Here is a 16,429-nt window from a genome sequence, read left to right as displayed (position 1 = left end):
TATGCCTGGCATTGTTCAAGTTCTTTGTATGCACTCTCTAATTTAATCCTTAAGCAATTTAGAGAGCTTATGTAACCTTGTACAAGTTCACTCAGCAAGTGGAAGAACCAGTAATTTGACCTTGGATCTATTTGATGAGAAAGCATGTGTTCTTAACCACTGTACTATGTAGCCTCCCTATTGCTGAAGCAACGGAATCTGCTGAAAAGTTATGGGTTCAGTAGTATAACCTATTGATCCTAAAAGAAGCCACATGTCCTTTCTGCATTTGCAGCTTCAGAAATACGCCTGTAAAGTTAAATCATCATTTGTTCATTCAGTCTTTCAATTCAGTGCCAGGTATTGTGTAAGGTTCTAGGCATCCAAAGATGCAGAAAAATGTATCACCTGCCTGCTTGTGTGAGGAGCTTGGACACTCCAGGGGGTGACGGACAGTGATTCCTACCTATGTGCCCATTCCTGTGGCCACACGAAGAGAGCTAAATCCAATGTCAGGGTCAAGAGAGCTCTCTGAAAGTCATTTTGTCTCCTGGTCTCAGGTCCCCCCGACAAACTTTGCAAGAGGTCCTTCTTGGAGGTGGAGGTTGTTGGGGAGGTGTGGCACCTCTGAACTTTTTCTTTCAACACTTCACACAAAAATATATACTAGTCAAGCTAAAAAACAAAAACAGAAAATTTAACTCAGGTTTACATTTAGTTCCAGGCTTGAAGTGTTCTTTAGAAATTTTCCTGACTCCAGAAACTTTTTGCATCTCTTTGTCTTCATCTTGATGGGGAAAGGGAAGAGAGAAAATGTAATATAGCGGAAAAACCATAGACTTTTTGGCTAGCCATATCTGAATTCAAATCTTGACTGCCCAATATCGCTAATGTGGTGGATAGTGGTGGATTGCTGATCTTAGCAAGCTATTTAACTTAACCGAGAATGCTTCCTCATCTGTAAAATGGGAATATTAATATTCCTCCTAGCGTTGCTGTAGCCATTCAGTATCATGTAGATAAAACATCTGGCATATGATTGGTGCTTACTAAATGGTACCTATTATTATTTTCTTCCAACATGAAATTTCTTTAAGAGAAAACAGAAAGAATATCTTTGTAACCAAAAGGTGGTAGGTAAAGGTTTCATCAACAAGACTCAGAAAGCAATAACTGTAAAAGAAATATTTGATAAATTAGACTTCATCAAAATTAAAACTACTACCCAATAAAGATACTATTTGGAAAATCTACAAACTAGATTTGCTAGACTGTAGCAAACTACAGATGAGAAGAAAATGTTTCCAGGATGCATACATCTGACAAAAGAATTATACCCCATATCTCTCTGATGGTAGAGGATCTTACAGAGTTTCAGTGGCATTACACTGAATGATTTCACTGTAAGCCCAATTTATGTAGATGGCCTGAAAATTTACATTAAGTATCTACTGAATCCAAAACGTAATCCGAAAACTCCTTATTACCTAACTCCTACTGTACATTTGTTTTCTGAGGATCTTTCTCTTCTTTTGTTTTTTCTTTTTATTGTGAAAGAAACTAGAGTTCCACTAAGGAACCTGCTTAAAATGCATACCCGAGGATTTGTTGTATCAGTTAGGGTTTGTGTTTGCAAACAGGATCCACCGTGACTAGTTTATTTAAAAAAGGAATGTTAGGAATTTGTTAAAGTATGGTAGATAGTACACAGCATTTCCAGAAAAGCCAGAGAGACATATTCTGAAGCTGAGTAGCAACCACACTCAAGAGCTTCTCCACCAAAAATATCTCTACAAATGCTGTTTGGCACCTGTAATGCCTGGAGCCAGATGCCAGAGATACTACCAGTGCCACCTCTGCTGAAACATCCACCTTCCACTAAAATGCCTACCAGTTACTTGTTCCCCCATATCTGGCCACCTCCTCACATAGCTCACTTCTTCATTCAAGTCCTAACAGCAAGGATCTGATTGATAGAACCTAGATCACATGACTGCAAAGTTAGTTGACTTCTACCTTAGAAGAGTAGTCTTAAAATATAGGAGATCTGAAAAAATACAGGAAGGATATTTTAAAATGCTGGCTGCCACGATAAGAAAGGGCTATCCATTTTACCCTTCTTGTACAACAGAGTCTAGAAAACTAAAAACATGTCTCAGATACCTTTGCAGTTATGACTCAGGATGTAATTTAGGATTCACCAATCCCATGCTCCTACGTAAGATTTGGAAGGCAGAATTGAGGTGGAGGCCATGCTTTTGTTAGTTATCTCTGTTGATTCTCCTAGCTAGTCTTGGTTGTGTTGAAGTTTGGGGTGTGTATGTGTGTAAGTGCTTTGTTTTTCTTGTTTTGGTTTTGGTTTTGATTTTTTGTTCTTTGGTTAGAGTTGGCAGGATTCCTACTATCCAATCCTTAGCTTTATTGTTGTTAAAAGGCAGAATTAGGGGAGCATATATGTTTTGCTGTTTGGATTTAGGAAGCATCATTTGATTATGGAATTTGCTATTGCATAATGGTGGCTTTCTGTGGTGTGGATGGTGGATAAAATGGTGTATTTCTAGAGTCATCATTTATAGTGGTGGATTCTTGATTCCCAATTTTCCTGCTTCTTGAAAAGGTAAGGTAAGCAGGAAGCTCCCTTCTCTGACTGGCAAGTTTAGTAGTGTCGTCCTAAAATTCATTTCTTCAGCCCTTCCAAAGATTTTCATAAGCACTAACTCCCGGTATTTAATCTCTTTCTGCTGAAAATAGATGATTTCTGTTATTTATCATTTAATCTTTTCTAACATAGGTATTAGTTCTATAAATTTCCCTTTATCTACTACTTTAGCTGCATCTCACAAAATTTGGTATGTTGAATTTTCATTTAGTTTAAAATAATTTTCTAGTTTCCTCTGTCGTCTCTTTTTTTACTCATGAGTTATTTACTTGTATGTTATTTAGTTTGCAAATATTTAGAAATTATCCTAGTGTCTTTTTGCTATTGATATCTAATTTAATTCTATTGTGGAAAGACAACATACTTGGATTTGAATTAAATGTATTGTGACTTGTTTTATGGCCTAGAATATACCTTATCTTGGTAAATGTTCTGTACATCCTTAAAAATAATGTGTAATGTGCTGCGGGCTCTATAAATGCCAATATGTCAGGATGCTAGTGTTGTTAAAGTTTTCTGTATTCTCATTGATTTTCTGTCTATATGCTCTATCAGTTATTGAAATAGGCATGTTAAAATCACTAACTATAATTGTGTATTTGTCTATTTTTCTATCAGTTTTTGTTTCCTATATGTCAATGCTATGTTATATTAAATGCATGAACATTGGGGATTGTCATGTCCTCTAATGAATGGCCTGTTTTATCATTATGAGCAAACCCTCTTTATCCCTGGTAATATTCTTTATTCTGAAATCTACTTAGTCTGTTAATAATATATTACTTTGGTTTTCCTTTAACTAGTGTTAGCATGGTATGTCTTTTTCTATTCTTTTTACTTTGAACTTAGGTGTGTCTTTGAATTTGAAGTGGGTTTCCTGTAGGCAGCATATAGTTGGATCTTGCTATTTTTTTCAATCCAATCTTAAAATCTCTGCCTTTTAATTGGGGTGGTGGAGACCATTTACATTTAATTGTTAGGCTCGAATATTTCATCCTGCTATTTGTTTTCAATTTGTTCCACTTGTGTTTATTTTTTCCTCCTGTGATGCTCTAGATTATTTTTATAGTTCCATATGAAGTTCATCTCATAATGATAAAATGGCCAGTTCAACAGAGGATATAAAAATTCTACATGTTCATGAGCCTAATAAAATAGCTGATAAACACCTACACATATATTACATTTAACTATGTATAAATACAATTTTTATATATACAGATTAAGTATTCCTAATTTAAAAATCCAAAATCCAAAATGCTCCAAAATCTACTTTTTAAGTGTCAACATGACACTCAAAAAAATGCTTATGGGAGAATTTTAGACTTCAGATTTTTGGATTATGGATGTTCAACCTGTATCATGTATATGATATGTTAATATATGTATTATTAACTATTTTAGAGATTACTTTAAGGTTTATAGTATATATCTGTAACTTATCACAGTTTATCTTCAAATAATATTATAGTACTTCACATAAAACTTACTACATAAGCCTTACTACAATATACTTCCATTTCTCTCCTCTTAGCCTTTGAGTTATTATTGTCATATGTTTTTCCTCTACACATGTTGGAAATTCTACAATGTGTTGTTATTATTATTTTTGCTTAAATAATTACTTTTTAAAAGGTTTGTAAAATGAGAAAAAATCTTTTATATTTATCCACATAGTTACCATTTCCAGTCTCCTTAATCGTTTGTGTAGATTCAAACTTTTATCTGGTATCTATACCTTTTATATACACATGCTATAAAAACCCCTATTATTATTATTGTTGTTGTTGTTGTTTTGGAGATGGGGTTTCACTCTGTTACCCAGGCTGGAGTGCAACAGTAATCATAGGTCACTGCAGCCTTGAACTCCTGAGCTCAAGCAGTCCTCTCACCTCAACAATCTGAGTAGCTGAGACTACAAGCATGCACCACGTCCAGGTAATTTTTTTATTTTTTGTAGAGATGAGGTCTCATCATGTTGCCTAGGCTGGTCTTGAACTCCTGGGCTCAAGTGATCCTCCTGCCTTAGCCTCCCAAAATGCTGGGATTACAGGTGTAAGCCACGGTGTCTGGTCTTGAATTTCTTTTGTTACCAATGCAATTCTTAATGCTTTGGTGAAGAGTGGCTTACAGGCATGATATTATTTTTATATGCATTATCAATTATCTTTTAAAGATACACAAATAAAAATTATTTTGTATTGATCCATGTAGTTACCATTTCCAGTGCTTTTCATTCCCTTGTGTAGAACCTGATTTCTGTCATTTTTCTCATTTTTCTTCTGCCTGAAGAATAAATAGGTCTGCTGGTGATAAATTCTTTCTGCTTTTGAATGTCTGAAAAAAGTCAATTTCACCTTCATTTTCGAAAGTTTTAAGGGGTGTAAAATTCTAAGTTGAAAGGGTTTTCTTTTCCTTTTGGTATTTCAAACATATTGCTCCACTGTCTTCTGGCTTACAATGTTTCCAAGAAGAAATTGGCAGTAATTATCTTTGTTCTTCTGTACAGTAATGTATCTTTTTTCCTGGCTGCTTTTCAGATTTTCTCCTTATCATGTGTTTTAATTAATTTCACAATGATGTGACTTGTGCTGTAGTGTAGTGTTCTTCATGTTTCTTAGGTTTGGGATTTGCTGAACTTGTTGGATCTGTAGACTTAACATTTTCATTAAATTTAGAACATTTTCAGCCATTATTTTTCCTTTTTTTTTTTTTTGAGACAAAGTCTTACTCTGTCACACAGGCTGGAGTGCAGTGGCCCAATCTAGGCTAACTGCAACCTGAAACCTCCGCCTCCATGGTTCAAGCAATTCTCGTGCCTCAGCCTCCCAAGTAGCTGGGACTACAGGTGTGGGTCACCACACCCAGCTATTTTTTGTATTTTTAGCAGAGATGGGGTTTCATCATGTTGGTCGGGCTGGTCTTGAAATCCTGACCTCAAGTGATCTGCCCACCTTGGCCTCCCAAAGTGCTGGGATTACAGGCATGAGCCACCACACCTGGCCATTATTTCTTAAATATTTTTTTTTCTGTTACCCACCCACTCCTTCCTTCCTTCAGGAGCTCTGATTACATATATATTGTACTGTTTAAAGTTTTTCCACAGCTCCCTGATGCTCTGTTTTTGTTTTTCAGCCTTCTCTTATGTTTCTTCTTGGATAGTTTCTATTGCCATGTCTAAATCTTTTCTTCCGCAATGTTTACTTTGCTGTTAATCTGATTTAGTGAATTTCTCATCTCAGACATTATGACTGTTATAATAATTGTTTTAACAACCTTGTCTGCTAATTTCATCATTTGTGTCATTTCTGAGTTTATTTCATTTAATTGATTTTTTATTATACTTTAAGTTCTAGGGTACATGTACACAACATGCAGGTTTGTTACATAGGTATACATGTGCCATGTTGGTTTGCTATCCCTCCCCCATCCCCCTACCCCATGACAGGCCCGGGTGTGTGATGTTCCCTGCCCTGTGTCCCTGTGTTCTTGTTGTTCAGTTCCCACCTATGAGTGAGAACATGTGGTGTTTGATTTTCTGTCCTTGTGATAGTTTGCTCAGAATGATGGTTTCCAGCTTCATCCATGTCACTACAAAGGACATGAACTCATCCTTTTTTATGGCTGCATAGTATTCTATGGTGTATATGTGCCACATTTTCTTAATCCAGTCTATCACTGATGAACATTTGGGTTGGTTCCAAATCTTTGCTATTGTGAATAGTGCCACAATAAACATACATGTGCATGTGTCTTTACAGTAGAATGATTTATAATCCTTTGGGTATATACCCAGTAATGGGGTCACTGGGTCAAATGGTATTTCTAGTTCTAGATTCTTGAGGAATTGCCACACTGTCTTCCACAGTGGTTGAACTAATTTACACTCCCACCAACAGTGTAAAAGTGTTCCTATTTCTTCACATCCTCTCCACCGTCTGTTGTTTCCTGACTTTTTAATGATCACCATTCTAACAGGTGTGAGATGGTATCTCATTGTGGTTTTGACTTGCATTTCTCTGATGACCAGTGATGATGAGCATTTTTTCATATGCCTATTGGCTGCATAAATGTCTTCTTTTGAGAAGTGTCTGTTCATATCCTTCACCCACTTTTTGATGGGGCTGTTTGTTTTTTTCTTGTAAATATGTTTAAGTTCCTTGTAGATTCTGGATATTAGCCCTTTGTCAGATGGGTAGATTGCAAAGATTTTCTCCCATTCTGTAGGTTGCCTGTTCACTCTGATGGTAGTTTCTTTCTCTGTGCAGAAGCTCTTTAGTTTAATTAGATCCCATTTGTCAATTTTGGTTTTTGTTGGAATTGCTTTTTGTGTTTTAGTCATGAAGTCTTTGCCCATGCCTATGTCCTGAATGGTATTGCCTAGGTTTTCTTCTAGGGTTTTTATGGTTTTAGGTCTTACATTTAAGTCTTTAATCCATCTTGAGTAAATTTTTGTATAAGGTGTAAGGAAGGGATCCAGTTTCAGCTTTCTACATATGGCTAGCCAGTTTTCCCAGCACCATTTATTAAATAGGGAATACTTTCCCCATTTCTTGTTTTTGTCAGGTTTGTCAAAGATCAGATGGTTGTAGATGTGTGGTGATACTTCTGAGGGCTCTATTCTGTTCCATTGGTCTATATATCAATTTTGGTACCGGTACCATGGTATTTTGGTTACTTTAGCCTCGTAGTATAGTTTAAAGTCAGGTAGCATGATGCCTCCAGCTTTGTTTTTTCGCTTAGGATTGTCTTGGCTATGTGGGCTCTTTTTTGATTCCATATGAACTATAAAGTACTTTTTTCCAATTCTGTGAAGAAAGTCAGTGGTAGCTTGATGGGGATAGCACTGAATCTATAAATTACCTTGGGCAGTATGGCCATTTTCACGATATTTATTCTTCCTATCCATGAGCGTGGAATGTTCTTCGATTTGTTCATGTCCTTTTTTATTTCATTGAGCAGTGGTTTGTAGTTCTCCTTGAAGAGGTCCTTCACATCCCTTGTAAGTTAAATTCCTAGGTATTTTATTCTCTTTGTAGTAATTGTGAATGGGGGTTCGCTCATGATTTGGCTTTCTGTTTGTCTATTATTGGTGTATAGGAATGCTTGTGATTTTTACACATTGATTTTGTGTCCTGAGACTTTGCTGAAATTGCTTATCAGCTTAAGGAGATTTTGGGCTGAGACAATGGGGTTTTCTAGATATACAATCATGTCATCTGCAAACATAGACAACTTGACTTCCTCTTTTGCTAATCGAATACCCCTTATTTCTTTCTCTTACGTGATCGCCCTAGCCAGAACTTCCAACACTATGTTGAATAGGAGTGGTGAGAGAGGGCATCCTTGTCTTGTGCCAGTTTTCAAAGGGAATGCTTCCAGTTTTTGCCCATTCAGTATAATATTGGCTGTGGGTTTGTCATAAATAGCTCTTATTATTTTGAGATACATCCAATCAATACCTAGTTTATCAAGAGTTTTTAGCATGAAGGGCCATTGAATTTTGTTGAAGGCCTTTTCTGCATCTATTGTGATAAGCATGTGGTTTCTGTTGTTGGTTCTGTTTATGTGATGGATTACATTTATTGATTTGCGTATGATGAACCAGACTTGCATCCCAGGGATGAACCCAACTTGATCATGGTGGATAAGCTTTTTCATGTGCTGCTGGATTCAGTTTGCCAGTATTTTATTGAGGACTTTTGCACTGATGTTCATCAAGGATATTGGCCTAAAATTCTCTTTTTTTGTGTATCTCTGCCAGGCTTTGGTATCAGGATGGTGCTGCCTCATAAAATGGGTTAGGGAGGATTCCCTCTTTTTCTATTGATTGAAATGGTTTCAGAAGAAATGGTACCAGGTCCTTCTCGTACCTCTAGTAGAATTCGGCTGTGAATCCGTCTGGCCCTGGACTTTTTTTAGTTGGTAGGCTAATAATTATTGCCTCAATTTTAGAACCTGTTATTGGTCTATTCAGAGATTCAACTTCTTCCTGGTTTAGTCTTGTGAGGGTGTATGTGTCCAGGAATTTATCCATTTCTTCTAGATTTTGTAGTGTATTTGCATAGAGGTGTTTATAGTATTCTCTGATGGTAGTTTGTCTTTCTGTGGGATCGGTGGTGATATTCCCTTTATCATTTTTTATTGCGTCTATTTGATTCTTCTCTCTTTTTATCTTTATTAGTCTTGCTAGCGGTCTATCCATTTTTTTGATCTTTTCAAAAAACCAGCTCCTGGATTCATTGATTTTTTGAAGGTTTTCTTTTGTGTCTCTATCTCCTTCAGTTCTGCTCTGATCTTAATTATTTCTTGTATTCAGCTAGCTTTTGAATGTGTTTGCTCTTGCTTCTCTAGTTATTTTAATTGTGATGTTAGGGTGTCGATTTTAGGTGTTTCCTGCTTTCTCTTGTGGGCATTTAGTGCTATAAATTTCCCTCTACACACTGCTTTAAATGTGTCCCATAGATTCTGGTATGTTGTGTCTTTCTTCTCATTGGTTTCAAAGAACACCTTTATTTCTGCCTTCATTTCGTGATTTACCCAGTAGTCATTCAGGAGCAGGTTGTTCAGTTGCCATGTAGTTGTGTGGTTTTGAGGGAGTTTCTTAATCCTGAGTTCTAATTTGATTGCACCGTGGTCTGAGAGACAGTTTGTTGTGATTTCTGTTCTTTTACATGTGCTGAGGACTGCTTTACTTCCAACTATGTGGTCAATTTTGGAATAAGTGCGGTGTGGTGCTGAGAAGAATGTATATTCTGTTGATTTGGGGTGGAGAGTTCTGTAGATGTCTATTTGGTCCACTTGGTGCAGAGCTGAGTTCAAGTCCTGGATATCCTTGTTAACCTTCTGTCTCGTTGATCTGTCTAATATTGACAGTGGGGTGTTAAAGTCTCCCATTATTGTTGTGTGGGAGTCTAAGTCTCTTAGTAGGCCTCTAAGGACTTGCTTTATGAATCTGGGTGCTCCTGTATTTGGTGCATGTATATTTAGGATAATTATCTCTTCTTGTTGAATTGATCCCTTTACCATTATGCAGTGGCCTTCTTTGTCTCTTTTCATCTTTGTTGGCTTAAACTACGTTTTATCAGAAACTAGGATTGCAGTCCCTACTTTTTTTTGCTTTCCATTTGCTTGGTAGATCTTCCTCCATCTCTTTATTTTGAGCCTATGTGCATCTTTACACGTGAGATGGGTCTCCTGAATACAACACACCAATGGCTCTTGACTCTTTATCCAATTTGCCAGTCTGCATCTTTTAATTGGGGCATTTAGCCCATTTACATTTAAGGTTAATATTGTTATGTTTGAATTTGATTCTGTCATTATGATGTTAGCTGGTTATTTTGCCCGTTAATTGATGCAGTTTATTCCTAGCCTCAATGGTCTTTACAATTTGGCATGTTTTTGCTGTGGCTGGTACCAGTTGTTCCTTTCCGTGTTTAATGCTTCCTTCATGAGCTCTTTTAGGGCAGGCCTGGTGGTGACAAAATCTCTCAGCATTTGCTTGTCTGTAGAGGATTTTATGTCTCCTTCACTTGTGAAGCTTAGTTTGGCTGGATATGAGATTCTGGGTTGAAAATTCTTTTCCTTAAGAATGTTGAATGTTGGCCCCCACTCTCTTCTGGCTTGTAGGGTTTCTGCTGAGAGAGCCACTGTTAGTCTGATGGGCTTCCCTTTGTGGGTAACCTGACCTTTCTCTCTGGGTGCCCTTAACATTTTTTCCTTCACTTCAACCTTGGTGTATCTGATGATTTTATGTCTTGAGGTTGCTCTTACCGAGGAGTATTTTTGTGGCGTTCTCTGTATTTCCTGAATTTGAATGTTGGCCTGCCTTGCTAGGTTAGAGAAGTTCTCCTGGATAATATCCTGAAGAGTGTTTTCTAACTTGGTTCCATTCTCCCTGTCACTTTCCGGTACACCAATCAAATGTAGATTTGGTCTTTTCACATAGTCCCATATTTCTTGGAGGCTTTAACAGTTTTTTTTTTCCACTCTTCTTTCTCTAATCTTGTCTTCTTGCTTTATTTCATTAATTTGATCTTCAGTCACTGATATCCTTTCTTCCACTTGATCAAATCAACTATTGAAGCTTGTGCATGTGTCACAAAGCTCTCATGCTGTGGTTTTCAGTTCCATCAGGTCATTTAAGGTCTTCTCTGCACTGTTTATTCTAGTTAGCCATTCATCTAACCTTTTTTTCAAGGACTTTAGCTTCCTTGCGATGGGTTAGAACATGCTCCTTTAGCTCAGAGAAGTTCGTTATTACTGACCTTCTGAAGCCTACTTCTGTCAGCTCATCAAACTCATTCTCCGTCCAGTTTTGTTCCCTTGCTGGCAAGGAGCTGCGAGCCTTTGGCGAAGAGGTGCTCTGTTTTTTGAAGTTTTCCACTTTCCTGCTCTGGTTTCTCCCCATCTTTGTGGTTTTATCTACCTTTGGTCTTTGATGTTGGTGACCTACAGATGGGGTTTTGGTGTGGATGATCTTTTTGTTGATGTTGATGCTATTTGTTTCTGTTAGTTAGTTTTCCTTCTAACAGTCAGGTCCCTCAGCTGCAGGTCTGTTGGAGTTTGCTGGAGGTCTACTTCAGACCCTGTTTGCCTGGGTATCACCAGTGGAGGCTACAGAACAGCAAATACTGCTGCCTGATCCTTCTTCCAGAAGTTTCGTCCCAGAGGGGCACTCACCTGTTTGCAGTGTCTTTCAGCCCCTGCTGGGAGGTATTTCCCCGTCAGGCTACACGGGGGTCAGGACCCTCTTGAGGAGGCAGTCTGTCTGTTCTCGGAGCTCGAACACCATGCTGAGAGAACCACTGCTCTCTTCAGCGCTCTCAGACAGGGACGTTTAAGTCTGCAGAAGCTGTCTGCTGCCTTTTGTTCTGCTATACCCTGCCCCGAGAGGAGGAATCTATAGAGGCAGTAGGCCTTGCTGAGTTGTGGTGGGCTCCACCTAGTTCTTGCTTCCTGGCCCCTTTGTCTACACTGTGAGCTACTCAAGCCTGAGCTATTCAAGCCTCAGCAATGGCAGACGCCCCTCTCCCCTGCCGGGCTGCAGCCTCACAGGTCGATCTCAGACTGCTGCAGTAGCAGTGAGCAAGGCTCTGTGGGCATGGGACCCACCAAGCTAGGCACGGAAGGGTATCTCCTGGTCTGCCCATTGCTAAGACTGTGGGAAAAGTGCAGTATTTGGTCAGGAGTGTATTCCAGGAACAGTCTGTCATGGCTTCCTGTGGCTGGAAAGGGAAATACCCTGACCCCTTGTGCTTCCCAGGTGAGGTGATGCCCCTCCCTGCTTCAGCTTGCCCTCTATGGGCTGCACCCACTGTCCAGCCAGTCCCAATGAGATGAACCAGGTACCTCAGTTGGAAATGCAGAAATCACCTGTCTTCTGCATCGATCTTGCTGGGAGCTGCAGACCAGAGCTGTTCCTATTCGGCCATCTTGGAAGCCCTCCCATTGAACTGATTTTTTTTTCATATCACAAGTCATATTTTACTGCTCATGTGTATGTTGGGTAAGTTTTGACTGTATGTTAGTTGTTGTATATTTTACTTTATTTGGTGCTGAACATTTTTATAGACCAATAAATATTCTGGGCTTTGTTCTGGAATTCAGTTAAATTGCTTGTAAACATTCTTATTCTTTCAAGTCTTGCTTTTACATTTAGTTTGATGACATCAGAGCAGCATTTAATCTAGGACTAAATTTTCTCCACTGTTGAATCAAAGCCCTTCTGAATATTCTGTCCGATGTTTCATGAATGATGAAATTTTACACTCTGGAAGATGAGAATAGCAGCTATTGTCAGCATGGTGTGAGCTCCAAACATTGTTCACTCTAATCCTTTAATGTGATTCTTTCCCTCTCCTTGGGTAGCTTCCTCACATGCATTTACTAATCTTTTCTCTGGTGAGGACTCAAGAGGGATCCTTTGTAGATATGCAGAGGTCTTTCAGTCCATGCAGCTCTTTCTTCTTGGTCCTTTGCTCTACAAACTTGAATTTTCGTGTTCTCCCTACATCTCTATCTTTGTCTCCTCAACTTAGGGATGTCACCAAACACTGCTTGGGTTCCCCCTCCCTGAACCAAGTGAGAGTTCCCCAGAAACTCTCTCTAGACTGGAAGTTGGTACAATCATAGGGGCCCCTCATTTGTTTCTCATCTCTTGGGGAATACGTCTCTTTATTACCAGATTTTCATTTTTAAAACCATTGTTTCTTATATTCTGTTTTGTTTTTTCGATATTTTAGGTGAGAGGGTAAATTTAGTCCCTGCTATTCCATCCTGACCAGACATTAATGTCCTCATTATCTGCCATTGATCCTTGACTGATACTTATGTCAACCTTGCTTCTGTTGGATACATTCTGCTTGACCTCTGCTACCATAATACCTTTGTCATCCTTATTCAGTCAGAGAGATAATTTCAATGGTAACATCTTCCACATGCATCCCCAGTCTACAGAAAATAGCTGCTACAATACAACACCAATCCATTGGTGCTCCCTTCACTAATGTTATATCTTAGGGCTTTGGAAAATGGAGTATATTTTGGGCTGTCTCAAGGACATATTTATTGGTTGTGTGAATGGACCACATATTAAATTCACTCCAACATTCTTTTTCCTTCTAAAGTCTTGGAATTTCTTCATCTCTACATTTTCTCTAACACCGTCTAGCATCTCAACTTCCGTTTGGTATAGATCTCTGCTGAGACTAAGTTTTAGCCAACCAAACAAGAAATTATTAGAATTACCCCCAACTGTTTGAGCTAGCACACTAGTGGAGATCCAAAATCTTCACTAAGTGAACACATAATAATGAATTTGACCCAATCTAAAATTGTTTAGATCCACTCTCATGTAGCCTATCATTTATTAAAATGCATATTTCCAAGTTTTTGACTATATAAATTAGCAAAATCTTGTTATTTTGCTTCACTTTGCCAGAATGACATTGTAATTGCCTCTTTGGTCATATCTTGCAGTCTGACTTTATTACAGATATGAGGCAATGAGAAGTGGGTAACCGTACATGAGGAAAATATTAATTTCTACTACTAAGATAACGTCCTTTAGCGAGGTAATTTCAGATATAAATCAGGGCAGGAAAAGCCTTAATAAAGAAGGAAGGAAGGGTTTCTCCTGCTGAGACTTTGGAAATTGACATGCTCTTAAATGTCCCCATACTGGCCAGGCGTCAGTGGCTCATGCCTGTAATCCCAGCTCTTTGGGAGGCTGAGGTGGGTGGATCACGAGGTCAAGAGATCGAGACCATCCTGGCCAACATTGTGAAACCTCGTCTCTACTAAAAATACAAAAATTAGCCAGGCGTGGTGGCGCGCATCTGTAATCCCAGCTACTCGGTAGGCTGAGGCAGGAGAATCGCTTGAACTCTTGAGGCAGAGGTTGCAGTGAGCCTAGATTGCACCACTGCACTCCAGCCTGGATGACAGTGTAAGACTCTGTCTCAAAAAAAAAAAAAAAAAAAAAAAAGGCCCATACTGATTCTCCATGTTTCAGTCTTTCTCAGTCAGTACCCTAACTTCCATATAAGAATCCTCTTAAGGCTGTGAATTCAACCTATTTTATAATTCAGCATCTCACTGTGAGTTTGATTTTTCAGCTACATCAGCCCTATGGCTGCAAAAGATAGCATAGAAACTATCTGTTTGTAGGACAGTCTAATAAACTTAAAATTTTAACTTCTGATTTATCATCTTCTTTCTTTAAAGCCCCCAACTGAGTTAGAAGCAGCAAGTTCAGTCCATACTACTTGCATTCCTCAGCCCCTCCCGTGTCATGGAGGCCCCCAAAGCCTTAAGTAGGTAGATCAGGGATAATGTAAGTAATTATTTCATCACTCTGTGTCATGGGCTGCCGGAATCCCATCCTTCAGTACTAACTAACTAAACATGACCTTGCCTTCAAACTCAACCATGTCGGATAACCAACCACCAAGTCCCCATTTTATTGGGGATCTGTTGCTAGTAACCATTCTAAGTACCAATCAGTACATCTGTCAGGTCTTTAGATGAAATCAGTAGAATCTATTCTGACAATTTAAGCAAAAAAAAAAATGATTTTAGAATATTAAGTAACTCCTAGAATCTCCTGGAGGCCAGAAGAGCCAAACCCTGAAGGTAAACAGCCAGAAACAGTGTCCAACTATGTGGTCTCATAACAGTTTACTGGATATGAGAAACTCCACCTCTGCCACTCCCAAAGATCCAGAGACCTCTGCCACCACACGTGCTTGAAGACTTGAGATCATTCACATGAAGCTGTTTCATCATATTGCTTGTTTCCAAATCCAGGTCTCATGAAGGTGTGTTTGATTGCCAGAATTTGGATCATTTGACTGTACCTAGCTCCACAAGGTCTGCAATTGTGCATCTTCTGGCTTCTACATTGGGAAGACAGATTTCACAATATGGGAGATTACCAAAATGTAAGAAGTTTAAAGTTGTGGAATTTTTAGCCACAGTTACCCATAGTGCACATTTATAATTTAGTACACTTGTATGTATACACAGAGATGCACAATTTTAGTTGCCCCAAATCTCTGAACTTTGAAGATCAGTAAAAGCCTCCATTTGGGTTTACTTTTCTCTGCTTAAGTGGAAATGCGAGGGATATGAAAAGAAGCCAAAGTAGCCCTCAAAGCAGTCTTGCCTGAGACAGGAAGACTAGATGTGGTGCCAGGAGCGCCCCACCCTCCTGGAAATTCCTTCACTCCGTCACCATACAATATACCTGAGTGACCCTTGCTACAATATTGCACACTCGTTCCTCTATTTATAAAGCAGAATTTCTGGGTAGGAGAGCCCTGGCGAATGTCAGGCTGCCTCTGTGCCAAGATAGGATTAGGGTTCTCTGCATCTTGGTTACATCAATTGCTCCCAGAAAAGACAGAGGCTGGCCGTGGCTAAAATTACAGTAACCAGCCCCACCTGACCCCCCAGTAGCCAGCCCATCATGCCCACTTTTGGAATAGCTAATGTTCTGTCCTGCTTCTGGGGATCGGGTGGCTGAAGACTGCAGCCAGGGCTCATCTATGTGGTGATGTGGACTCCAGGGTTTGCAGCGGAAGCAATATCACCTGGGATTAAAGGATTGCTGCCTCTTTAAATCTGATCTCTCTCAGAGTTATTAGTAGGCTGTTCTTTGCCAATTTTTCTGCCATCATTCATTCAGGACTATAATTTTGTCCAGAGAAAAAGATCTCCGGATTCAGAAGTCTTTTCAAGCCAGTAAGGGTATGTGGAAAGATCATTATTAGCAAGACACATCCATCAAATCCCTTCTTACCACTTGCTCCACCAGGACTCTGGGAAAAAGCAGCAGGAGGCACAGCCTCTGCATCTGGGGCATATAACTCAACCCAGACATGGGGTCTTGGACAGGTCTTTAAAGGGCAGACATGTGACAAAGGAGAGCAGGGAGCAACTGACTCATAGGCAGACCACAAAATATGATGCTGACACCAAACCCATTGCTGTTCACCTCCACCCAGGTCCTCATTACCTCATTCTGGAGCTATTTGAACAGCCTCATCTCTTGTGTCTCCACCTTCCACAGCGCCCTTCCTCAGTCCACCCCAAGGACCCATTATTCTCCTGCTCAGGGACTCCCTCTGCTTCCAAGAGTGTTTCTCAACCTTTTGGTTAAAAACATTCAGAGCCTCCCACATAATAGAAATTGTGCTTTTATAATCATGATAGAAATTGTACTTTTGGTTATGAAAATAACAAAAAGCTACTTATAACTCAGGAAATCTTTTATATTAAGTCGTA

This window comes from Homo sapiens, chromosome 11, assembly GCF_000001405.40.
Source record: "Homo sapiens chromosome 11, GRCh38.p14 Primary Assembly".
Classification (NCBI taxonomy): domain Eukaryota; kingdom Metazoa; phylum Chordata; class Mammalia; order Primates; family Hominidae; genus Homo; species Homo sapiens.
This window is presented reverse-complemented; position numbering follows the sequence as displayed.